Source organism: Homo sapiens, chromosome 20 (assembly GCF_000001405.40).
Source record: "Homo sapiens chromosome 20, GRCh38.p14 Primary Assembly".
NCBI lineage: Eukaryota > Metazoa > Chordata > Mammalia > Primates > Hominidae > Homo > Homo sapiens.
The window spans coordinates 4,785,652-4,811,149 of NC_000020.11; the positions used below are offsets into that span (position 1 = coordinate 4,785,652).

Here is a 25,498-nt window from a genome sequence, read left to right on the forward strand (position 1 = left end):
GCTACATCCACGGCTAAGACAGCCTTCCTGAAATCCCTGGAACCTCCGGGTCTTGGTTAGCACTCCTTGCCTTCACCCCTTCAGGCAAGGGGTGGTAACACTAGCCCCAGGGACTGCACTATCCCTTGAGGTTACCCCAGACTCTGCCCAAGTCTTCGCAAATAGTCCCTTCTTCAAACACCCGTCAAAGACCCTCATCGGAGTGAGCATCTGTCTCCTGCTGGGAGCCTGATCGTATACTTAAGAAACCAGCGTACAGTCACCTTCCCTATTTCTGCATCTAGACCCCAAAGAAATTTTAAACCAACACCTTCTTTTCAGAGTCTTTCCATAAGAGGGAGGACAAGAGACACTTTGATGTCCCACATCAAAACGAGAAGCTGACACAAGAAGTAGATGAACACACTTAACTGTCACGTCCTCACTTGAAATCCAGGTTTGTCAATGGGCAGCCCTCCAAAGAAAGCCGAGACTCAGGCCCATGCAGCAGCTCAGCACAGTCCCTGCGAGGACCCAGCAGAGGCCCCTCTGTTGAGGCCCCAGGAGAAGTGCACCCAGTGCCCCAGAAGCCACACTTACTTGCGCATCAGCTTCTTTACTTCCCGATCTTCTTCCTCCTGGAGCTTCTGAATGAAGCTTTTAAGTACCGGCATCTCGAACTTTATATACTGGGCCACCTAGAGAGAAAGAAGCAAGTCTGGGTGAATGCCCTTCCCAGCATTATTCCAATTCCTTTCAGGGTTGTCCTTATACAAGGCACAAAGCCTTGGGAAGTCTATTTTTTTCAGAAACCCAGGATTTCCTTAAAGGCAGCAGCCAAGCCTCATTCCTCACCAGGGTGGGAAGGAGTCTGCGATGATCGCTTCGCTTACGTGACACCATCTCATAACTTCTCATTTTTCATGTCATGCATTCAATTCATGATGAGGTGAAGCCAAACACAGAAAAGTACTTTCTTTTGACACAGTGATGCAGAGAAAGAACTGAACCCATTATGTTTAATAAACCCCTTTGTTCTCCCCTAAGAGAATGGAAGGAATCAGGGTTCCAGATGACGATTTGGGTCTCAAGGCTCAAACAAGCATCCAAATATGAACTCGCTTTGGAGAGGCTGTGGGTGGCTATGGGGTGAGTTAAAGTTTAAAAACGGTGCCAGGCATCGTGGTTCATGCCTGTAATCCCGGCACTTTGGGAGGCTGAGGCGGGCGGATCACTTGAGGTCAAGAGTTCAAGACCAGCTGGCCAACATGGTGAAACCCCGTCTCTACTAAAAATACAAAAATTAGCCAGGCATGGTGGTGCACACCTGTGGTCCCAGCTACGCAGGGGTCTGAGGCAGGAAAATAGCTTGAACCAGGGAGGTGCCACTGCACTCCAGCCTGGGCAACAGAGCGAGACTCCATCCCAAAAAAAAAAAAAAAGTTAAAAAATGGCTTCCCTTTCCCCACAAGAATCCCCACCCTGCTCTATCAACTCTTCTCCCTGGGATAAGTACATTTCTCTACCCTATTAATGCTGAGCTTGTCCATGTGACTGGCTTTGGCCAGTGGAATGTGTGTGGACATGACACACCAAATCTGAGTGGAGGCTTCAAATATGCTTACATGATTTGGCCTGGTTTCTCATGCTCCGCCATCTGCCATGAGGACCACACCCATGTGCAGTAACTACTGCCCCAAAAGCCTGGGCCTCTGGGTGAGTCACACAGTGCAGACTTGAACTCAACCCATACTTAGAGTAGAGCCATTGCTACTAGACCACAGAATCATGGGCAAAAAAGCAAATGTTTGCTGTTGTCAGCTACTATGATTTGGAGATGTTTGTTACTCTGCAAAAGCTGGCTTCGAGAGAACCTGGTGCTGAAGAAGTAAAAGGGGGCATGGTCGTTGGTCAAAAAAGTCATTCTATACCCCAGTTACAGGTGGTCCAACCAAATCCCCACCCTCCTGAGGACAGATCGCCTGACCCAAAGGGAACTCACGTCGTAGGTGACTTCCTCCACCTGGTCCTTCTCCATTAGGAACACTTTGGAGATCTGCTCACATGGGCCCTGGAGGATTCGGGCAATCAGCGGGTAATCGGTGGCCTTCAGCTTCTGTTTCTCTGCAACCACACACACCCAGGAGCAGCCCTGAGAGGCCTTTCTCACATTAAGTAGTGGTTAATGCAGGGGTCCAAAGGCACCTTAGGAGATGCCGCCATATACGTCAGGAGACTGATTTATAAGTGAACTATTCCATAGGTGTTGTGAAAAGCAACTTCCTCCCACTCCTCACCCCTCAACAATACCACCATGCCTCAAACTCCTTGGAGGAATTGGGTTTATCTGTCTCTTAAGAAAATCTAGTTCCTCTTTTAATAGGCAGTTAGGTTTAGAATTTGTTTACTGGCCATATAAGGCAATCCCTAGTAGACTCATACAGCAAGCCCATCAGCCTTGAAGGCAAACAACATTTGGAAGTTTCCAAAACTCAAACAACAAGCAAAGGAGGCAGAGGTATTTTTTTAACTTGCTATTTTGAGTTAATTAGAAGTTTTAAAGTACACTGTGGTCTTCAGACTTACCACCACTCGTATGGACCACGTACAAGGCAAACTCCTCTGCTGAATTCTCAATCTGAAGCAGGAGCAAAAGATTCTTGTTGAAAGTTTCTATTTAAACATCCCAACTTCGAGGCTTTTCCTCTTCTTTAGCAATGCAAAGCTAAGTCAATTTTAGGCTGTTTTGAGGGGAGAGCTATTTATCTACAACTCTCAGAAGTGATGAGAAGATCGAGAAGGCAGATGACTTTATCAATAATACAGTCATGCACTTAACCACGAGGATGCATTCTGAGAAATGTGTCACTAGGCAATTTCATTGTTGTGCAAACATCATAGAGTGTGCTTACAGAAACCTGGATGGCATAGCCTACTTCACACCTAGGCCATATGGTATATAGCCTATTGCTCCTAGTGTACAAACCTATACAGCATGTTACTGTACTCAATGCCGTAAGCACTTGTAACACAATGGTAAGCATTTGTGTATCTAAACATATCTAAACACAGAAAAGGTACCATAAAAAATGGATTATAATCTTACGGGACCACTGTCGTATATGTGGTGCATCATTGACCAAATTGGTCATTCTGTAGCACACGACTAGGATAGATAACAGCTATCGTCTATTGCAATGTGCCAGGCATAGTTCTACAAATGTTAAAGGCTTCAACCCATCTAATGCTCACGACGATACCATAGTGAAGTCCCATTATCCTCATTTTATGATGACGAAGCAGAGGCAGGGGCAGGTTAAGTAACCTGCCCAATTCATCCAACTAGCAGGTGCTCAGTGGAGATTTGAACCCAGAGCCTGTGTTCTTAGGTTGTTAGGCTACACTGGCTTCCATTAAAAATAAGAACACCTGGTCTCCAAAAGATCTCTGGTCTCCAAGAGATTGTGGAAAACACAGAGCAACAGAACTTTAAAAGCACTCCTGCACTATAATTTGCACGTCTATTTAAGTATCATATTTCAAAGTAGGTTTCCCAACTGTGTCCCAGAAGTCAATCTTCGCACTGAGCCCAAAACCAGTCAGCAGGCCCCAGGGTCCTTCTAAAGTAGCCCATAAAGGATTTGAGGGCTGATGTTTCTCAAACTTCGGTAGGCATCCAAATCCCCTGCAGGCTTGTTAGACGGCGTCCCTGGCCTACCCCTCACAATTTCTGATTTAGTGGGTCTGGGGTGGGGCCTGAGAATCTGAATTTCTAACAAGCACCCAGGTGATGCTGATGCTGATTCTGTGGACTTTGTCCTGGATCGTGAGGATCTAAAGAACCGAAGCCCTCTGCTCAGCATCCCACAAAACACACAATTTCCATAGCTCCTCGCACAACCACTCTAGGAGTCCCAAGGCACAGCTGTGACCCCATCTGTGGCCACTCAGCAAAGGGAACTTGCCTTAAATTTGTTGAGCAGCAGCTTCAGGACCTGTGGGGTGGTCATGGTGCTGTTGATGCGGACGTTGGTGACAGAGCCATAGGCTGGTGTGAACACGGATGTCTGTCAATAGAAGGGCCCAGCTCAGGGTGGGAGTGGGAACAAGGACCCAGTGCTAAAATCCAGGTGCGGTACAGGGCACAGTGACAACGATACTCAGAATGTACTCCCTGGGAGCCCCCGGCAGACTGGCAAGCAGCAGGCTTTGTAGACAAAGCAACCCTCGGGGTTTGCATAATTCAGTTCATGCTCCACGCTCAAAAAGACCCTTCCTCTGGGACTTCAGCACAAGGCTGTCTCTGACCACTCTCCCACCATGTATTGCCTCCGGGGGTAGGATTTGAACAAAGCAGGAGGAAAGGAGGGATCAGCAAGATGGGGTGGGGTGGGTGGTGCACTGACACCCCAGGTCTGAGACCTGCAGCTCTGCTTCAGCTCTGGGAAAAGCCAGACCATACACCAGCTGGGGGCACAGTGTGCAGGAAGAGGGTAACACGTGGATTTTCTTGGGAGAGACTGATGAGCTGCGTTTATGGGGTCTTCAAGGCTACAGCAGGGACTGCTTTGTACAGCCCCACTGAATTCACCCACCACCTTAAGGGGAACCCACAGGGGGACTTTGAGGCTTCTGACCTGGGGTCCCTCAGCCCTCAGGAAGCCAGCAGGGCTTGCAGCCCACCCACAACCCAAAGACTAAACAGCAGCAAACACTTGGCTTCCCAGGCATCCACACCACCCACCATATGGCTGTAGCCCTGAGGTGGCATCTACCCAGGAAGAGGTCTTCCACCCTCCCCGTCCCCCTGTCCACCTTACCTTATGGTTGTAGAAATGGCCGTTGATGGAGAAGCGGTGGCGTCTGATTCGCCGCTGGTCACTAGGCGTCCTCACATTGCCACGGCGACGCACCCCAACATCACTGCGTGTGCGCATCAGCTGTGGGGTGTCCTCCTGCAGGGGCTTCAGGCCCCTGGAGTCTGAGAGAGGAGAGGGAAATGAACTCTGTCTGTCTGGACCTGGGACATGGCACATGGTCCCCAATTTGTGGCCAGTGCGACAGCACCCACTGTCTCCACAAATATATATTTTATACAAATAATATTTTCTGCTGGGGGAAAAACATAATGCAGAATTTACAGAGAACCTATACAAGGAAAAGTTCAGAGAACAGACTTCAGAGCCGGACTCCCTGGGTTCAAATCCCTGCTCCATGATTGCCATATATCACTAACCTCTCTGTGCCTCGGTGCTTTTATATATAAAATAGGGATAATAATAACACCCACCTCAGAGGGTTGCTGAGGGTTTAAATGAGTTAGTATACATAAAGCACTTAGAATAGTGCCTGGCACAGGATAAGCATGATATAAGAGCTAACAAGATACTGCAAACAAACTCTGACACATGCTACCCACGGATGAACCTTGATGACATTATGCTAAGTGCAACAAGCCAATTACAAAACAGCAAATACTGAATGATTCCACTTATATGAGATACTTAGAGTGTACCTCATATAAGTGTACCACATATAATTGAGGTACACTGTAAGTACATTCTAGGTACATACAAAATTACAGAGACAGAGAGTAGAATGGTGGTTGCCAGGAGCTAAAGAGAGAAGGATGTGGGGAGCTATTGGGAGTTTAATGGGTACAGAGTTTCAGTTTCACAAGATGGAAAGAGTTCTGGAGATGGATGGTGGTGATGGTTGCGCAACATTATGAGTGCTTTTAATACCACTGAACTGTACCACTTAACATGGTTAAGATGGTAAACGTTATGTTATGTATATCTTACCACAATAAAAAATTAGAAAAAATAATGTTTAACAGAACATGTATCTAAAAATATGTGGGGTTCCCATGGCATATGTCTATCCTTGTATGTGTATAAATATACAATACTGACATTAATCACAAGTAGGTTAATCTGCTCTTATTAAAATATATTTAATCCACGTAATATAAAAAAGATTTTGCAAACTGACAATATCTATGAAAATTAAAAATGCATATGGCCTTAAACCCAGAAAGTCCACTTGAAAGAATCCTACACGCTGACAAATGTGTGACGTGACACATGTATAAGGCCGCCGACTGCAAACTCGTTTGTCATAGCAGAGGCTGAAAATGACTTAAATGTCTACCAGTAGGGAGTGATTACATAAATTATCCTTTTTCCATACAGTGAAAGAATGCAGAGCTGTAAAGAATAAGGAAGTTCTTTACAAATGTATATGGAAACATTCCCCCAGATAAACTGATAAATAAAAACTGGGATCTGCACAATGCTACCACTTGTATAACTAGGGGAAGAAAAGAAACTACATCCAACCAGGCGCGGTGGCTCATGCCTATAATCCCAGCATTTTGGGAGGCTGAGGCGGGCAGATCACTTGAAGCCAGGAGTTCAAGACCAGCCTGGCCAACATGGCAAAAACCCATCAGCACTAGAAATACAAAAATTAGCTGGGCATGGTGGCCCATGCCTTTAATCCCAGCTACTCAGGAGGCAGAGGTGGGAGGATCACTTGAACCCAGGAAGCAGAGCCAAGATTGCACTACTGCACTGCATCCTCCTGAGTGACAGAGGGAGATGGGAAGGGAAGGGAAGGGGAGAGGAGGGGAGGGGAGGGGAGGGGAGGGGAGGGGGAAAGAAACTACATCCACCCATAAAGACATGTCAGTGTGTTTTGCTTATATTTGCATGGACTATCCCACGAAGGATGTTCTCGGGATGCTTCTAGGTGGGTGGATGAGGTGGGTGACTTAATTCTCTCCCTTTGTATCTTGAACCATATACATTTTATATTCTCAAAAATAAATAACAGTTTACAACATCTATCACAGCGGTCTTCACACAGTTGGTCCCTAGCTGGAAGTACCTTCCACTCACATGTACCTGTGGAGCTTGGCATCTGGTCACCCTCCGGCGGGGCATCCACCTCTGAGATCTGAACTTTGGGCACAGTCAGGGGCTTCAGAGTGGTTCTGGGAGTGGAGAAGACAAAGGGGAGGGGGGAGACTAGTTTAAGCCCTGTGGAGAGACGCCCCCGCACCCGCTGGACCCCACTCCTGAAAGGGGAGCACTTTGCTAGTGCCAGGCTGGGTACTGGCACACATCAGGTGATGAAGGGTGCAGATGGGCTGCGCGGAGCATCCCGTGAAAGGCTGGCCCAGCTCCCAGGTCAAGCAGTGGGTGGGGCAGGGGGAGTTCCGGAGGGAGAAGATGTTCTTTTGCAGCAACTGCAGTAACACACCCAACCAATTCATCAAGCCCAGGATGGATAATACCAAGGAACAAAACCCACGTGTTGCCTGCACTGCTTCTAAGCATGTATGGATTCTATGGCTTACTTGGAAAACTCTAATAGTGGCCATTCGTTTTGCAGGGTAAGATTCCAGTTTAGACTCATTGCTGTTGAAGAAATAACTCATAATTGCTTCTGGCATTCAAAAGGAATGGAAAGTAATAAGTTGGCCACAACAAGGGCAGGGGCAGCTTTGGAAGGGACACTGACAGTGTTCTCAGCGTTGCAAGGATGGAGTCCTCATCCAAGCTGAAGAAAGGGTTACAAGCAGGCAGTCCAAGCTGAGACCCTGGTTTGCCATCATAACTGGCAAATAACTTCTCAAAGCCAAAAAGGACAAAGGGAGCAGCTCAGAAAAACATCCAAAATCAACAGAGGATTTGGCTAGAAAGGAGAATCATATTTGACCAATTAGGAACAACCCATGGTGAGAAGAGCATGGGCTCCCTGGGACCCAGTAGAGATAAACCTCATGTTCTGGGGAGGATCGTTTTAAGGAAGGACAATTAAAATGGAAAATCTGAAAGAACTTCCTATTGTAATTTAACTCATATACTTCTGAACCACAGAATGGACCTGGTCAGAGCTTCTGGGGAATGGTGAACACTTGGCACCCAGAGCAGCGACTCCCACTCCCTGATTTAAAGCCTTCATTCTTGCTGAAGCAGGAACCGGTCTCAGCATCCTTATTTTTTTTTTTTATTTTATTTTTTTGTAGAGACAGGGTTTCACCATGTTGCCCAGGCTGGTCTTGAATTCCTGAGCTCAAGTGATCACCCGCCTCAGCCTCCCGAAGTGCTGGGATTATAGGCACGATCCACCACGCACAGCCTCAGGATCCTTCTTAAGACAGCAGTCTAGGCATTCACTGTATTATAGCTGACATCTAAATGACACCATTTACCATTCCTGAAAATTCTACCAAAGTATTTTGCAGAGTCAGCCAGGACCAGCTTGATGCCGCAGAGAAGGGAGAAGAAGCAGGCGGACCGAAGGACCCTTTAGCAGCCCAAACCAAAGGCCACAGGCTCAAACGAAATCTTAAAAATCATCTCACTTAGGGAATAGAATAGTCTGGGGGTCAGGGTCAGGCTGTGAAATGGGCTTGGCCATTGGCAGTCAAATACAGCAATAATACAGTATAGTATAACAAATACAGTATAGTATAACAAATACAGTACAGTGTAACAAGTACAGCTGGGCATGGTGGCTCACACCTGTAATCCCAGCACGTTGGGAAGTCAAGGTGGGAGGATTGCCTGAGGCCAGGAGTTTGAGACCAACCTGTGCAACATAGTGAGACCCCATTTCTACAAAAAACATGAAAATTATCCAGGTAGGGCCAGTATGGTGGCTCACCCCTGTGGTCCCGGAACTTTGGGAGGTCAAGGAAGGTGGATATCTTGAGGTCATGAGTTCAAGACCAGCCTGGCCAACATGATGAAACCCCCTCTCTACCAAAAAATACAAAAATGGCTGGGTTTGGTGGTGGGCACCTGTAATCCCAGCTACTCAGGAGGCTGAGGCACGAATCGCTTGAACCCGAGAGGCAGAGGTTGCAGTGAGCCGAGATCGCATCACTGCACTCCAGCCTGGGCAACAGAAAAAAAAAAGGTCGGGGTGGGGCGGTGTGCACCTATAGTCCCAGCTGCTGGGGAGTCTGAGTTGGGAGGATCACTTGAGCCTAGGAGGTTGAGGCTGCAGTAAGCTGTGATTAAGCCACCGCACTCCAGCCTGGGAAACAGAGTGAGACCTTGTCTCAAACAAAACAAAACAAAAATATGGTGATAGTGCTGAAAAGCAGAGCATGAAACCTGCAAAGTTAGATGAAACCAAAGAACCTTAACCAGACATCCTAGCACCTATGGGGTGGGCAACAATTTTCCTCCTTAAATCCCCTTGGAAAGAAACCAGACCAGCCCCAGGGCTGGCCACATAGTAGGTTTCTCTCAATTGTAGAGAAACATAGATTTGGCTGTGGAGTTTAGCAAAATGTTCAATGTGGCCAACAGAGAGGGCTTGGTTTTCATTTAAACCAGAAAAAAAGGTCACTGTGGTTTTGGCTGAGAGGCGAGCACACTCCACCCAGGCTGGGGCCGAAGGCAGTCAGCATCAGCAGGTTTCAGGATGGAGACAGGCTAGTCACTTGATCCTAAAACTCAAGTCCCAGAAAGACAATAAAGAGGGCATGCCTTGCTAGAGGCATTTGGCGGCGCATTTGGCGGCTTATTCAGCCATGGAGGATAAGGAGGGATGGACTAGGTCTTCCCAGCCCTTCTGGTGGGAACTTAGACTACCACCATCTCACCAAACCCTGGCTCCCCGTATGGTCTGCAGGGAGCAGACCCCTGGCTGATCTCGCTTGGCTGACTCTGACAGAGCCTGACATTCCTTTTCCTCTTCTAGGTTCCCCCAAGATTCAGAGAGCTTTGGTCAGAAGGTTCAAGTCATAAATGCTTTGGAGTGGGGCTATTCTATGAGGAGTGGTCCCAGTGGGGAGGGTGCTGGGGCATGGGGCGCCCTGTTAGAAATATACAGGCTGGGCCTCACTAGCCACTAGCAGCTCCACTCAGAGACTCCTGAGTTCTCCCTAAGGGAGGACTCTGACTCAGCAGCTCCCCTCGTATGACTCAGCAGCTCCCCTCCTGTGACCTCATCAGTGATTGCAGTGACAGGAAGGGGGCTCAATCACAACCACATCTGCTGCTTGTTCCTCATTCCAAGGCTAAGGCAGGTGGGCAGTAGAGGTAGTAGGAGGAGGAGCCAGGGTCAGGGCTGGCTGGAAGAAGGCAGCATTTATCTGCTTGAGAACACATAGAACACCCAAGCATCCCAGTCATCTCCCTGCCCCGTCTCTCCTCACTCACCCCTGAGCCCCCAGGTTACAGCCAGAGTGCCAGGAGGAGGAGGATGGAGGGGGTCGAATGCGTTCGTTGTCATCCTGCATCTGCAGGCGAATGGGCCGGCGCAGGCCCCAGGAGATGTTCAGGAGCCCCTCCACAATGAACTCGTCTTCTTCCTGCCCACAAAGCAATCAGAGTAGTGAGCCTAGAAAAGCCCCCACAGAAGCCAAGACCATGCTGAGGGACAAATGACACATTCTTCACATGTCCTGGCTGGGGGCCCCCAGACTGTATTCACAGGATAGGGGCAGCTGCCCAGTTCACACCGCAGCTCTGAGATACTTTCTGACGTCAACTACTCCAGATCCTGAAGCTGACCTCACAGGTCAGCACAAAAGTTGCTGTGAAATTCAAATACATAGGTATAAATTATAAAAAGCATTGTTTTTCTTTTTATCCTAATGACTTTTAAAGAAAGCGGAATACATTTCTTAAAATAAGTGAGATTAGCCTTGTTAACAGAAGCAAGAACTGGAGTTAGCTACGTCCCATCCCCTACTACGGAAAATGATGTCTCTTTAGCTACAACATCTGTTTAGCAATCCAACCTGGTGGTTGAAGGAAATTTAAAGCAACATTTGCCGAAGTTTATTCTACAGAACACTAGCTCCTCTAGCAGATGAACTGCTGTCTTTAAAAGGGTGTCAAGTGATCATGAGCTGGGAGAGGCTGTGCTAATCAGATTTCCAAACAGCAGAATGTCCCAGGTTCTGTAATAAACTAACGGGCTAAATGACAACTCTCCAACAGGTGAATAAATCTTGCAGGAGTCCCCAATTTATACTCAAAGGTTGCTGACTAATTAGACATTAAATGTAAAACCATTCTAGAGGCATTTATATGTTCTATCCCGAAGAATTGGGACTCGCTTATGACTATGAAATCCTTTAATCATGAAGCACTTTTAATCATTTATTCTATAGGACATAACCCAGGAAAGCTATTTAAGAACTAAAATCTTGCATGGCCCAGCTGCTGATTAGTAAAAGCTTGAAGGGCAGTTCCTAAAAGAATCGGTTCTCCTCCCTCTAGTCTCAGAAAAACCTTTTTGGAGCCATGTTTTATGGGCTATTCAAGTGTTAGATCTGGGTCATGGAACACATCTTCAGGACAAGCCCCATAGGTGAAAATAACATCAGCCCATTGAGCAACTAACTAACTTGGGCCCCAAAATCATCCTCAAAGAGGGAGGAAGGAATAAAAGAGGGAAGGAGAGAAATGAAACAATTTTACGGTGCTTAGGCGTCTCAGGGAGGAAGGCTTTATGTAAACATAGGCAATTTACATGGCCTTCCCCTGGTCAAGGTGGGCATCATTCCTTTACACAATTGTAGGTCAAAATTTAACCCAAAACAGGATTTTGTCTAAGTGGAGTGGTTTGAGGGACACAGAATAGGCCACTACATCCCACATACTGTCCCCAAGCAACCTGCCCTAGCAGCTGAAATTCCACCATCTGTTATCTGTTTCTATGGTTAAATCGCCACAGCTTGATAACCTGAAAATGTGTTTCAAAGGGCATTACACATAGGGACCTTTTTATCAGTCACAGGCGCTTGAGTATAAAGTACCCTACCAGACTCCTTTATAACTCATCATCTATCTGATAACAGGCTTTAGAGAAATGGATACAGGATGAGTAAGCTCAGTTTCAGGATGGGAATCAGATGAGTAACAAAAGCAACCTAGGATGACCAAGTGTGGGGACGGGCCCACTATCAGTGGGGACTCTGCTAACATCCAGAGCTTATGTGCTTTGCCCAGGTCACTGCAGTGATAGGACTTGGGCCCAAATGTTTAAACACAGAGGACTGGGTGGGGTTCCCGAATTGCCCAACGAGAGAACGTCTGCTTGGGAGCCACCTGGAAAGGTCATTTCATGAAAGCTCCCTCTGGAGAATCTCCCCCATGAGACTGGGCTAGCCCTGCCACATTTCTACAGGAATGTCTCTGGAACACATCTCTGAAACATTCATCCTTTTTGGAACAAAACTGGGCCTGGAGTCTTCTTCCAAAGAACCCCAAGGACTCTCACTAGCAACCTAAATAAGAAGCAGGAGAGGCAGGGTTCTCTTGGGACCTCAGGGACCTTCAGACCCAGGACACATGGTGACAAGCCCTGGACTAGCCAATCAGGGCCGTCCCTGGGGACTCCTTACCTCCCGGTGCCGGAGCTGTAAATTCTGGCCTTCATAGTACAAGTTGTAGGTCTTCAGATGCAAGAGAAGTTCATTTCTTAGGGGGAAAAATAGAAGAGATATAACATTATCAGCTGAAGCCACTTATAATGCAGTTGTTCCCTCTTTCTCTCACCTCTCACCTGGCCTTCAGTCACCCCACTTTGGGTAACTGTCCACATGTACATACACACACATGCACATGCACACAGAGTTCTGCCACCACCACCCCATAACCATCTTCCCCCAGGATCAAAGTCAAGAGTGAGCACCACCCCAGAACAATGCTTAAAGTAAGGAGCAACTCCAGGACACCAAGGCAGGCCTCGTCTACCGACAATACTCCCAAACTCAAGCTGAATGAGCAGGTGTTAATAAGCCATGGATTCACTGAGGCGAGCACTTCAGAGCCCACACACAGCGATTCTCCTGCATGGCTGTGGCCTTTTCTCCCTCAAGCACGCTGTGAGTGAGGAAAGGACAATAATGATAGGCCTTCACAAGACTCAGAAGCTGGCTGCGCGCAGTGGCTCATGCCTGTAATCCCAGTACTTTGGGAGGCCAAGACCAGCGGATCACTTAAGGTCAGGAGTTTGAGACCAGCCTGGCCAACATGGTGAAACCCCATCTCTAACAAAAATACAAAAAATTAGCCAGGCGTGGTGGTGCACACCTGTATTCCCAGCTACTCAGGAGGCTGAGGCAGGAGAATCACCCAAACCTCAGAGGCAGAGGTTGCAGTGAGCTGAGATCGCGCCACTGCACTCCAGCCTGGGCAAAAGACTGAGACTCCATCTCAAAAAAACAAACAAACAAACAAAAAAAAAAAAACTTGCAAACTCCCATCAGCATCAGAATGGGTGCATAAAGGAAGCAATAGCCACACAACGGAAAATTATCAGCGAAGAGAATGTGAATGAACTACACAACTACACGCATGTGTGTGACTCATGGGAATTATAGGATATGTGCTTTTCTTGTGTCTAGCTTCTTTCACAAAAAAGCACAGATCATATTCCATTGACAGAAAGTTCAAAATGGAGTGTTAGAATTCAGGATAGTGGTTCACCTTGGGGAGTAGTGACAAGAAGTGGGCATGAGGTGGCTTCTGGGCCCTGGCAATACTTTTTCAGTTCTAAAAATTAAAAAATAAAAACCCTTAGAAACTCCCCCTCTGAAGCCCAGCACTGGACCTCCTTAGCCACCAAGTTTTCCAAGTGGCTGCACTGGGAGTACAGCTCTACTGCACGTGGCCAGAGAGGAGATTTCACCCCCTTTGTGATCAGGGAAATCCCTCATCAACCCTGAGAATGCACAAGTCAAGTTTCATCTGAAAGTGCATGTTTTGCACTCCAGGTGGGATGAGAGGGGCGAGAGGTGGAGGGGGCCACTGTGCGCTTTTGTCTAGTCTCAAGTAAGAGGTGGCAGAGTTCAGCCTCTCTGAACCCAGCCATTCAGTGGAGAGATTTTGGACCACGCCAGGAGTCAAGACCCACTGGAAATGCCAAGAAAATCCTGACAAGTTAAACCTAGATAAAGCAGCATGATTCTATGCAAGCTGAAATAAATTTGTGGAAAATGTGATTCGAAATCACCTAAGACAAAAGGCCGTTTGGTACTTTTGAACACACAGATCTGAAACCGGGAGAGAAAATCATTGGTTGGTAGAAGTCCCTGGGGAAATCTGTCCACAAAGAGATAAGAATGGTCAGATGTCACAAAACATGTGTCAAGTGTGCCTAAGGACTTCCAACAATTTAGTCCCAGATAAATTAAATATTTCGTTAAGATAGAGAAATCCCAGCTGGGTGTGGTGGCTCACGCCTGTAATCCCAGCACTTTGGGAGGCCAAGGCGGGTGGATCACCTGAGGTCAGGTGTTCAAGACCAGCCCGACCAACATGGTGAAAGCCCACCTCTACTAAAAATTAAAAAATTAGCTGGGTGTGGTGGCGCATGCCTGTAATCCCAGCTACCTGGGAGGTTGAGGCAGGAGAATCACTTGAACCCAGGAGGCAGAGGTTGCCATGAACTGAGATCACGCCACTGCACTCCAGCCTAGGTGACAGAGGGAGAGTCCTTCTAAAAAAAAAAAAAAGAGATAGAGAAATCTTATGCTGGAACTTCCAATTCAAGGGTCTATTTTGGCTCAAGCCCAGTCACATTAGCAAAAAGCCTGAGCTCAAGAGACTTTAGTGCACAGAAAGCAATTAAATTGTCCCCTTCTATTCAGAGGGCATTAGCCAGACCCAGAGCAGCCGAGGGACACACTACTCCAGCCAGGACTCCCTGGGAACACAACGGACAGGACGGGGAGCAGTGTCTGAGTCCATTCTGGCTGCCGGACCATAGACTGGGTGGCTTCTAAAGAACAGAAATTCATTTCTCACAGCTCTGGTGGCCAGGAAGTCCAACGTCAGGGTAGAGTCAGTGTCTGGTGACAGCCCTATCCTCACAGACAGTGCCTTCTCACTGCGTCCTCACACCGCGGAGGAAAAACAATCTCCCTTGGCCTTTTATAAGGGTACTTAGATCTAATCACATCCCAGAGGCCCCACCTCTTATACCAGCACCTTGGGGTGAAGTTTCCACATAGGAATTTGGGGGAGACACAAACATTCAGAAGATAGCGAACAGCCACCAGCCAACTCCTCCTCCTGGAAGTCTTCCAGGATACCACATCTTTTGAGCCCCCAAAGTTTCTGCGTCTTGACTTCCCCTTTACTTCACCTCCAGGCCAGGCTCTCGGGACATGTTTTTATCTATAGCAGCAGCCCTGACGCTCTTACAAGTCCAAGTTCAGCTGCTTGGCTCCTTCCCCCATGCAGGAGCCCCACCAGTCTGATATACAGTGGGGGGCCCTCTGCCAGCGGCTGCCGTCCACCCACAACATCCCAGCACGGGACTGGTCACTGAGGACAAAACACTCCAGCAAAACGTCTTACTTGGAAATGTATTTATCTTGTCCACATGGGACTAGGGACGTTTGGTGGCTGTAGTCCATTCTTCCTTTCTCTTTTCATCGGAAGGAGAGGCCTACATTTGGAAGGAGAAGACAGAGGTTAAAGTCAAGTTGTGTGCTTGGGAACTCAGCAGAACTTGGGGTGGGGAGGGGGCACAAAATTGGACGCCATGGCTCTCCGTTCCTCCCCACCCAGATCCACAGCTAACACTGACCCAAGGCTGTGAGGGGCAACACTGCTGGCTGCTGCCTCGGCTTGCCACAGCCTCTGAGAACAAACATCCAAAGGAAAGACGACAACCCTTGGACAATCCAAGCACAAATGCCCCAGCCACAGAGCACACTGACAGCCACATTGGTTCCAAGGATGACTGATGAGTCCTCCTCTCTGAAGAGACCGTCACAACACAGAATAGAGAGTTATCTCAGGGACAGCCCGATTCTACTGAGGTCTACTGAGGATGGGTAAACCACCTGAAAATGCCCAAATACAGCCGAGTGCGAGAAATCACAGTATGTGTCTACAGACACCACTAAAATATTACAATGTGAAAGACAATTTAATTATAACAATACATTACAAAAACACAGGTAACAAAACTATGGGTCTAATTTTGTTTAAAATCTATGTAAGTATAAAATATGCATATACATACACACATTTACATGTATAAATATTTATTCAGATAGGTATATATATACATATATATATCAGGATTTCTCAACCTTGGCACTATTACCATTTGTTTTGTTTTGTTTTGTTTTTTGAGAAAGAGTCTCACTCTCTTCGCCCAGGCTGGAGTGCAGTGGTATGACCTCAGCTCACTGCAACCTCCCTCTCCCAGGTTCAGGTGATTCTCTTGCCTCAGCTTCCCAAGTAGCTGGAACTACAGGTGCCCGCCATCACGCCAGGCTAATTTTTTGTATTTTTAGTAGAGGAAGGGTTTCACCATGTTGGCCAGGCTGGTCTCAAACTCCTGACCTCAGGTGATCCGCCCGCCTCAGCCTCCCAAAGTGCTGGGATTACAGGCGTGAGCCACCGCGCCCAGCAGCACTATTACCATTGGAGCTGGCCCATTCTTTTTTAATTTCTATTTGGAGAGAAGCGATGTCACTTTGTCACCTGGGCTGGGAGTGCAGTGGCATGACCATAGCTCACTGCAGCCTCAAATCCCTGGGCTCCCTCGATCCCCCCGCCTCAGCCTCCCGAGTAGCTGGAACTACAGGTGTGCCCCACCGCCCCTGGCCTTGGACTGTTCTTTGTCGTGGGACTGTCTTGTGCATTGCAGGTGTTTAGCAGCATCTCTGGATTCTGCTCACTAGATGCCAGCAGCACTACCCCAGTGATGATGACCAAAACTGTCGACAGACACTACTAAGTGTCCCCAGGGGCAAAATCACATTACTCACAACAGCCCAAAGGTGGAAGCAGCCCAAGTGTCCACTGAAGGATGAGCAGATAAACAAAATGGAATATACGCATCCAGTGGAATATTATTCAGCCTTAAAAAGGAAGGAAAGGCTGGCACATGCTAGAACATGGGTGAACCTTGAAGACATTATAACAGGCCACACCCAAAAAGAAAAATACCATATGATTCCACTTTTATGAGGTACCTAGAGTAGTCAAAATCAGAGACTGATTTTATAGAATGGTGATTCTTCAAAAAGTAGAACGGTGGTTGCCAGAGGCTGGGAAGAAGGGGAAATGGAGAGTTTCTTAATGGGTACAGAGTGTGCAAAAGGAAGAGAGTTCTGGAGATAGACGGCAGTGATGGTTACACAACATGTGAAGTTACTTAATGCCACTGAACTAGACACTTTAAAATGGTTAAGATGGTAAATTTTATGTGTATTTTACCACTATATACATATACACGTGTATGTGTGTGTGTATATATATATATACATATATATATATATATATTTTTTTTTTTTGAGACAGAGACTCACTCTGTTACCCAGGCTGGAGTGCAGTGGCATAATCTCAGCTCACTGCAGCCTCGACTTTCCCAGGCTGAAGTGATCCTCCCACCTCAGCCTCCCAAGTAGCTGCGACTAAAGGCATATGCCATGATGCCCAGCTAGTTTTTTGCATTTTTAGTAGAGATGGGGTTTTGCCATGTTGCCCAGGCCGGTCTTGAACTCCTGGACTCAAGCAACCTGCTTGCCTCGGCCTCCCAAAGTGCTGGGATTACAGGCATGAGCCACCGCACCCAGCCCACAATATATTTTTTAAGTGGAAGAGGGAGGCATAGGAACCAGTATTACAGTGAGACAATGTGAGAAGGATTCGACCTCCTGGAAGAAGGATCCACGACCCGAGGGACACAGACAGCCTCTAGAAGCTGGAAAAGCAAGAAAATGGACTTGTCTTAGAGTCTCCAGAAAAGAACACATCCCTGTTGATACCTTGATGTTAGCTCAGTGAGATTCGTGTCAGACCTTTGAACTACAGAACTGTGAGATAATCAATTAGCGTTGGCCAGGCATGGTGGTTCATGCCCGTGACTGCAATACTTCATGAAGCCGAGGCAGGAGGATCATTCGAGGCCAGGAGTTCGAGACCAGCCTGGGCAACAGCAGGAGACCCCATCTCTACAAAAAAAAATTTAAAAATTAGCTGGATGTGGTGGCACGCACAGGTAGTCCTAGCTACTTGGGAGTCTAAGGTAGGAGGATTGCTTGAGCCCAGGAGCTCAGGGCTGCAGTGAGCTATGATCATACCACTGCACTCTAGCCTGGGCAACAGAGTAAGACGTTGTCTCTTAAAAAAATAATAAAATAAGGCCAGGCGCAGTGGCTCACACCTGTAATCTCAGCACTTCAGGAAGCCGAGGAGGGAGGATCGCTTGAGCCCAGGAGTTCAAGACCAGCCTGGGCAACATGGGGAGATCCCATCTCTACAAAAAATAAAAAATTAGCCAGATGTGCTAGCATGCACCTCTGGTCCCAGCTACTAGGCAGGCTGAGGCAGGAGGATAAATTGGGCCCGGGAGGCCAAGGCTGCAGTGAGCCACAATCACGCCACTGCACTCTAGCCTGGTCGACAGAGTAAGCCCATCTCAAAATAAATTCATTAAATTAAATAATAAAATAAAATAAAAATAAATGTACTTTAAGCCACTAAGTTTTGGTAACTTGTTACTGCCGGTTACCATGGGTGATTCCATTCAGAAAACTCAGACCCTACCAGTGTCCCCAAAAGTGGGACCCTGAGAACACAATTGGTCTCTCTAAATTTTAAATTTTATTATTTTTTTTACTTTTCCAAAAAAGGAAGAATAATCTGATCATGAAAACCGGAGTACACATGTAACGCGCAAAAAGAAAAAAAGGAAAGTCGAGCTAGTGAGAAAGCTTTCTTTTTTTTTTTTTTTTTTTTGTCACCCAGGCTGGAATGCAGTGGTGCGATCTCAGCTCACTGCAACCTCTGCCTCCCAGGTTCAAGCAATTCTCCTGCCTCAGCCTCCTGAGTAGCTGGGATTACAGGTATGTGCCACCACGCTCAGCTAATTTTTTGTATTTTTAGTGGAGACGGGGTTTCACCATGTTGGCCAGGCTGGTCTTGAACTCCTGACCTCAGGTGATCTGCCCGCCTCGGCCTCCCAGAGTGCTGCGTTTATGGCCTGAGCCACCATGCCTGGCCAAAACTTTTCTTTCTTAAGTGACAATTACCCGTAACTAGTCAGTGTCCCTTTTTCTAAAAAGTTGCCCCTTCTACACATGTATAAATTTACACATTCAACAAGCATTTATTGTGTCTACAACGTGCCAAGCATCGTGCTTCACGATGGTGGCTCAGCAGTCAAGGAAACAAGGCACATGGTGCAGGAGGAGGGGGATGTGTGGGGGCAGAGGGCTCTGTCAAGGGAGGGTGAGTGCTATGGTAGCAAACAGGAAGGACACCTACGGATGAGGGTGGGGTCCTGGGGGGCTTTCTGGAGGAAGAGACCTCTAAACTGAGACCTCAGTGTTGGCAAAGATGAGGGGCGAGTAGGTCCAGGCAGAAAGAGCAGGCAACTCGGAGCTGTGCGAGATGGGGTGGCACGAGCAGAACCCCGACCTGGTGAGGAGTCTGGACTTCATCTGGTGGGCAATGCTGGGCCATGTGAGTGTGGAGGATGAAGAATGGCCCCAGAGACACCTGGGCCCCGACCTGGAGCCTGTGAAAATTACCTTATATGGTAACAGGGACTCTGCAGATGTGATTAAATGAAGGATCTTGAAACGAAGAGACTATCCTGGATTATCTGGGGGGCCCTAAATGTAACCACCAGTGTCCTTATAAGAGGGAGGCTCTGCCACAGCAGAGAGAAGGCGACGTGACAACTGCAGCAGAGGGAGAAATCTGAAAACGCTGCACTGTGGACGAAGATGGAGGAAGGGGCCATGAACCTTGAAGGCAGCTCACAAGCTGGGAAAGGCAAGGACACAGATTTGCCTCAGAGCCCCTGGTGCGAGCAGAGCCCTACCACCACCTTAGTTTTGGCCCAGAGAAACTGACTTCAAGACTTCTGGACTCCAGAATATAAGTATTAAATTTCTGTTGTTTTAAACCACCAAGACTATAGTCATTTTTCTCGGCAGCAAGAGGAAAACAAGGGGAATTCCGAGGGCAGGGATGTGATCTGATGTACATTTTGGAAAGGTCACCCACCCAATGCCTTGCTTTGTGGAGAAATAATCCGGGAGAAGAGCATCCCGGGGACCAGTTGAGAGGCCGGAGCCCGAGTTGGAGAGACAGACTCTAGAGAGTTCGAAGAAGAAGAGGAAAGTCGTGATGTGGAAAGCACACCCTTTGGGGAAAGGGTGTGCTGCCGGATGAAACGTGGGGTGACAGGCAGAGTCCTGGTGACGCACAGGCTGCTGGCGAGGACCGCAACGTAGGCAGAGGTGCCACCTTCACAGTTGCTGAAGTGAGGACCAGGACTGAGTTTCAGGCAGACCCATGGAAACTTCCAGTGCAGATAACCAGAAGTACAGCAGGCCTGGGGCCCAGGAGAGCAATTCCTGGCACGTGAAGTGAGGGGAGAGGATGAGGTCATCGGGAAAGAACAGAAGGGGTGAAGGGGACAGGGCCTAGAGCAGGGTTCCCATTAACCCAGTTGGTCAGCATGGGCAGAGGAAGGAGTCCCTGGAGAAAGAGGAAAAACAGGAGACATGGTACCAAGGAAGCCCAGGAAACAAGGGGCCTTGAGAAGGAGGCCAAGGCCAGCAGAGCCAGGAGCTGGTGGTCAGAGCCCAAGGAAGGGGAACCCAGAGCAGCCTCTGTTAAACCACACAAAGGTCATGGGGGAACTCAGCCAGAGCTGATCGCGCAGCCTGGTTGGAGTGGAAATCAGGTGAACGGTGCCTGCTGTCGGCAGCCCTTCTCACTCTCCAACACTGGAGTCTTTCCTCAGCCAGGGAAATGTTATTCTATCTTTCTTTGATTATTTCCCCTCTTCCTCCCATTCTTGGTTCTTTTTTTTGAGACGGTGTCTGGTTCTGTCACCCAGGCTGGGGTACAGTGGAGCCATCATAGCTCACTGCAGCCTCAAACTCCTGGCCTCAAGCGATCCTCCCGCCTCAGCCTCCCGAAGGGATTAAAGGCATGGGCTGCCACACCTAGCTAATTTTTTTCTTAATTTTTCTTTTATAGAGACAGGGTCTTGTTATGTTAACCAAGCTGGTCTTTTACTCCTGGCCTCAAGTGATTCTCTCACCTCAGCCTCCCAAAGTGCTGGGATTACAGTGAGCCACTGCAGCCGGTCCATTCTTGGTTCTTCTGCAATCTCTTCTCTCTCTAGCACTATGCATCCATCCACCCCGGCAGCTACCCTCCATTTCCTTATTTTTCTCAGAATTCTCCAGCTAATCTTCTAACTCACCAATTGAATTTTCTCCAGGACTCTCTCTTTCGTTCTTTGCCTCCAACATAACCTATCATTTGGTAATTTAGTTCTGCATCTGTCCTGCTCTTAAGACAATTCTTTTTAATACCATGTCTTCTTAAATCTACTGAGAATACCAGTTAGAGAATTTGATTCTTAAAACTATCTGGTTCTACAGAAAAAAATAGCCAGAGCAATGAAACAATAAACATACAGAAATAGACCCAAATATATCTGGGAACATGGAATGTAAGCAGCAGTTCTAAATAGCAGGGGAAAGGTAGCTTAATTTTTTAAAATATCACTAGAGAATTCGCTGGCGTTTGGAAGGGGGAAGACAGGGAAGTGAAATCGCTAGCTTACTCCTTCCACCAAAAGAAATAACTGAACCAAAAATTTAAACATTGAAAAATAAAATGCTGAAGAAATTGATACCAACCTGTGAAAATTTTAAACTTCTGTTCAGAAAAAAAAAAAAAAGGAAACTATACAAAGTCAAAAAGGCAAATTGAAAACTGGGGAAAAATATTTACAAAACATATGGTAAAGGGCTAATGTCCTTAATACATAAAGAGCTTTAATAAATCAGTAAGAAAAAGGTTCTATGCTCATTCATAAAATGGGCAAAGGACACGCACAGTAGTTCATGGAAAACTCAATACAAGTAATTAATAAATCCATGAAAAGGTGTTCAACTTCCCTCATGACCCTACTTTTTACTTACCAGATTGATACACATCAGATAGTCTGATGGCCCCGACTGTGGGAATTTTCTAGGGCTCAGCCACTCTCTACCTGTTGGGTGATCTCACCAAGGCCATAGCTATAACTCCGACCTATGGGGTCATGTTGCCCCATCTTTGTCTATGGCCTGACTTCTCCCCACCTTTTTTCTTACTTTGACATTTCTTGGGAAAAAAGTGTTAAGAAAATATTTGCATAGCCTAACCCAAAGTTGAACTGAAATTACAGGTAGGTGATTCTAGGACCCAATCCCTCTTTTGCCCCACTCTGGGCATCTGCACCTTTCTTCACAAACTTTCCAACCACCTTCACAAAGCACTGTCTCCCTGCAGCCAGCTAAAGATACTAAGCTACATTCACATCCACCTTAAGGCAAACAGCAGCAGCACTAACAGAGGGCCGGAAATTCACAGTTAACTCTGATATTCCTTAAACAGAGCATTGTTCCTCACACAAGGAAGGTCAGAGGAAGACGGTTTGTGGAACAGGAATGTGGATTCAATTGGATTCAACTGGACACTTCCTCCAGGGGTGCCTGCCATTATCTGTGGCCTTGGAGACAGGGATTCATTCGTTCAGCTGGCTGGTTGCAATGCTTCTGCCTCCCCTGTTATTATCCAGAATTTATGGTGCTCTCCTGGGCTCCAAAATGCCTTTAAGAACCATTTACGATCATGACTTCCCACGGGGCCTTGGGAATACAGACTAATGGTTGTTATGTCTTGTAGGAGGGAAACTGAGGCAAGGAGGAAAGAGGGGCTTCCCACATCAGCCAGCATCTAGGCACAGAACTAAAACACCTCATAGTCTACCACACAGAGAAAGGAGAAGAGGGGCAGAAAGGGGACAAGAAAGAAAGGGCAAATTTTACACAAATCTTTTTTTTTTTTTTTTTTGAGACAGGGTCTCATTCTGTCACCCAGGCTGGAATGGAGTGGCACGATCACAGGTCACTGCAGCCTTGACCTCTTGGGCTCAAGTGATTCTCTCACCTCAGCCTTCTGAGTAGCTGGGACCACAGGTACACGCCACCATACCTGGCTAATTTTTTATTTTTTGTAAAGATGGAGTCTCACTATGTTGCCCAGGCTGGTTTCAAACTCCTGGCCTCAAGCAATCCTCCTGTTTTGGCTTCCACAATGCTGTGATTACAGGTGTGAGCTATCTCTCAAAAATCATTTTTAATATGGAGCTGCTCTTTGGAAGTCTAAAACATATTTAAATCTACTGAACTTCCTCTATGAACATAGTTACTTACTCCCTCTAGAATTCTAAATCAGTACTTCTTTTTAGAAAAAACACTTTAGAAAATAAAGCATATATTGAATGTCTACTAACCACAAAGCATGTCTGCCAAAATAGCTGGAGATGTGAATACAGCTGGGCTTGCCTAGTTGAGACATGAGTCTCCCAGGTTCCTGTCATGCTGGAACCCTGTTGGGGCCACCAACCAGTCAAGTTTTCCCTCTGACACTGGCTTCATGCTTTGGCAGAATGTTCCAAATTCTCCTCAGCTCCATTAAATGCCTGGGCAATGCATTCTGCTTGTCAGTGGAATTCAGCTGGTTACTTGGAGACCCATTCATGACTTCCTGACTGCCTGAAAGACAGCTTGGGGGTAAGACCTTCCCTAAGACCCAGGAGGACGTCTTTTCAAAGGGAAGGTCCTCTGGCCATTTAATATGATGACATCCCAGCCACAGAGAACTTTCGGAGCCTACTTTTTATGCTCTGTGAGTGTGCCCATGCTCCCCCTCAGACCCAGATTCACATGTTCTAGCCTCGACCCTCATCAAAACTTACCTCCCCCTATAAATGACCCCTGGACAATGCAGGGACAGGCACTCCCACTTCGGCCTGCCCTTCAGCACAGCACGTACCCCACACAGAAGTCCCCTGCTGGTGTTTCTCTCCCCTCCTGGGCCTGGAGCTTCCTCTCTGGCCCCCAGCCCCCAGCTCCCAGCCTGTGCCTCTCCTGCACCCGGGTTATCATGATTACTGCTTCCAGGAAGGGGATGGGATCAGCAGTCTGTCCAGGGACACTAACCTGCTACCTTAGGCCAGGGGATTCCTAGAAGCAGAGCCTGAAAGAAAGCATGTGATTTATTGTGCAGGTGTTTTCAGGAGAAACCTGTAAGGGAGTGGGGGAGGCAGGACGGGGGCAGTGGGAGGAGCTAGGAATGAGGTGCGTTCAGCTGGAGCCCAGCCACAGCTGATCCCCTGGGGAGCTCTGTGGTGTGAAGGGCCCCCAGAGTTGTCCTACGTGGAGGTGGGCAGGTGGCGCTTCTGGACCGCTGCATGTCAATCATTGGCAGAGGGACAGCCCGTAGGCATTTCCCTGCAAGAGCAATTCTCAGGAAACGTGTGCCGCTAAGACCCAGCACTGTCAACACTCACAGCATGCAATAGATTAAGGGGACCTGGGTGGTACAGCAGCATCCATTACACCTGCTCCATATCTGAGATTGAAGCAACTACTGGGTCTGTCACTGTCCCCCACCCACTCTCAAGTTGGGAGGAAACAGCTGCCCACTCAGGACCAGCCTGGCGCTGGAGCCTAGGCTGCCGGAACGGGGTCAGCGTCACCCAAGCTCTGGACCAGCTGAAGCCCTGCAGCAGTTGCATGAAGGATCCTTTCCCTTCCTTCCCACAGATGCCACTTGCAGGTGTTTCCAGCCTCCCACAGGAGGCCTCTCCAAGAACAAATGCAGGGCTGGCCAAGCCCAAAAATCACAGCCTCAGCTTCCTGAGAGGAGAGCACACACCAAGTTCTCAAGACGCTCTAGGAGGAGGGAAAGGCGTCTGGAGCTCCCACCAAAAACAGCAGAATCCCCTCTGCTCTTAGGTCTTGCTTCCTCCAAACGCTCCATGATCAGGGAGCCTGGAGAACGTGCCACCTTTCCTTGGTCTCAGAGCATCCCCAGGACCCTGGCTCGCCCTACGTGGTTTCAGTTCCAGCCTGGAGACCCAGCACCTCTCGTCTTATTTATGAATTGGGAAGTCCTCCAAGGGAGGGGCAGCCCTGGCAGGAAAGTCCAGGGTGAGAGAGGGGAAGAGCTGCCTTTGGTGGTCACTTTTGTTTTTTGTTTCCTGAATTGTCTTTCTGGTTGTAGAGCAGGGGCCAGGCCCCAACCACCCCCACCTCAGCTCCCAGTGGGGGTGAGGGAGGGAGAGCAACAGTTGTTCTATAGGCTCCAGGCAGCCCCAGTCTCTGAGACAGGCTTGGGGAGGAGAGGGCTTTCCATGGAGAATTCCCAGGGTGGCAGACCCCACAGAGCCACCACCTGACCAGTGGGAGGGCTGAGCACTTGCCAAAGCCTGGACTGAAACCAAGGATGGGGGGCAGTGGGAAGAGGTGGCTTAGAGACACCCGACGTCACAGCGATTCTGACTCCAGGTGCTCATGAGACTCCCAGAGCAGCGGCAGGGAGTGGGTAGAGAGAGGGGTTGCTTTAAACATCCTGATGTCAGCGAGGCATGGTGGCTCATGCCTGTAATTGCAGCACAGCACAAGGACAGCTTGGGGCCAGGAGTTCAAGAT

The 25,498-nt window shown here is 47.9% G+C and overlaps 1 protein-coding gene across 15 annotated transcripts in view, besides 5 other annotated features; it reads right to left on the minus strand.

The window, feature by feature from the left end:
• Positions 1–25,498, minus strand: part of RASSF2 (Ras association domain family member 2) — a 43,586-nt gene that overhangs the window by 5,629 nt on the left and 12,459 nt on the right. For 5 of the 15 annotated variants that reach the window (XM_017028153.2, NM_014737.3, XM_005260895.4 and 2 more), the window contains 9 exons: positions 15,321–15,411; positions 12,359–12,434; positions 10,164–10,315; positions 6,888–6,976; positions 4,800–4,960; positions 3,945–4,046; positions 2,566–2,617; positions 1,982–2,103; positions 580–677 (listed from right to left, as the gene is read on the minus strand). In XM_017028153.2, coding sequence (XP_016883642.1) covers positions 580–677; positions 1,982–2,103; positions 2,566–2,617; positions 3,945–4,046; positions 4,800–4,960; positions 6,888–6,976; positions 10,164–10,315; positions 12,359–12,434; positions 15,321–15,379 — 911 coding nt within the window. In that variant the 5' untranslated portion in view covers positions 15,380–15,411. Of the gene's footprint in view, positions 1–579; positions 678–1,981; positions 2,104–2,565; positions 2,618–3,944; positions 4,047–4,799; positions 4,961–6,881; positions 6,977–10,163; positions 10,316–12,358; positions 12,435–15,320; positions 15,412–17,749; positions 17,936–25,498 lie in introns of all 15 variants that reach the window. The other 10 variants (XM_017028149.2, XM_011529410.2, XM_011529411.2 and 7 more) reach the window with 5 other exon arrangements.
• Positions 8,983–9,843: an enhancer, noted in NCBI's record as "H3K27ac-H3K4me1 hESC enhancer chr20:4775280-4776140 (GRCh37/hg19 assembly coordinates)". NCBI's record gives its function as "activates a minimal SCP1, AML or CMV promoter by ChIP-STARR-seq in naive H9 embryonic stem cells {active_cell/tissue: H9 hESC(naive)}" and the evidence as "EXISTENCE:reporter gene assay evidence [ECO:0000049][PMID:30033119]".
• Positions 9,838–9,987: an enhancer, noted in NCBI's record as "active region_17497". NCBI's record gives its function as "activates an Ori minimal core promoter by ATAC-STARR-seq in GM12878 lymphoblastoid cells {active_cell/tissue: GM12878}" and the evidence as "EXISTENCE:reporter gene assay evidence [ECO:0000049][PMID:35858748]".
• Positions 9,838–10,704: a biological region, named in NCBI's record as "H3K27ac-H3K4me1 hESC enhancer GRCh37_chr20:4776141-4777001".
• Positions 9,844–10,704: an enhancer, noted in NCBI's record as "H3K27ac-H3K4me1 hESC enhancer chr20:4776141-4777001 (GRCh37/hg19 assembly coordinates)". NCBI's record gives its function as "activates a minimal SCP1, AML or CMV promoter by ChIP-STARR-seq in primed H9 embryonic stem cells {active_cell/tissue: H9 hESC(primed)}" and the evidence as "EXISTENCE:reporter gene assay evidence [ECO:0000049][PMID:30033119]".
• Positions 24,390–24,449: a silencer, noted in NCBI's record as "silent region_12647". NCBI's record gives its function as "represses an Ori minimal core promoter by ATAC-STARR-seq in GM12878 lymphoblastoid cells {active_cell/tissue: GM12878}" and the evidence as "EXISTENCE:reporter gene assay evidence [ECO:0000049][PMID:35858748]".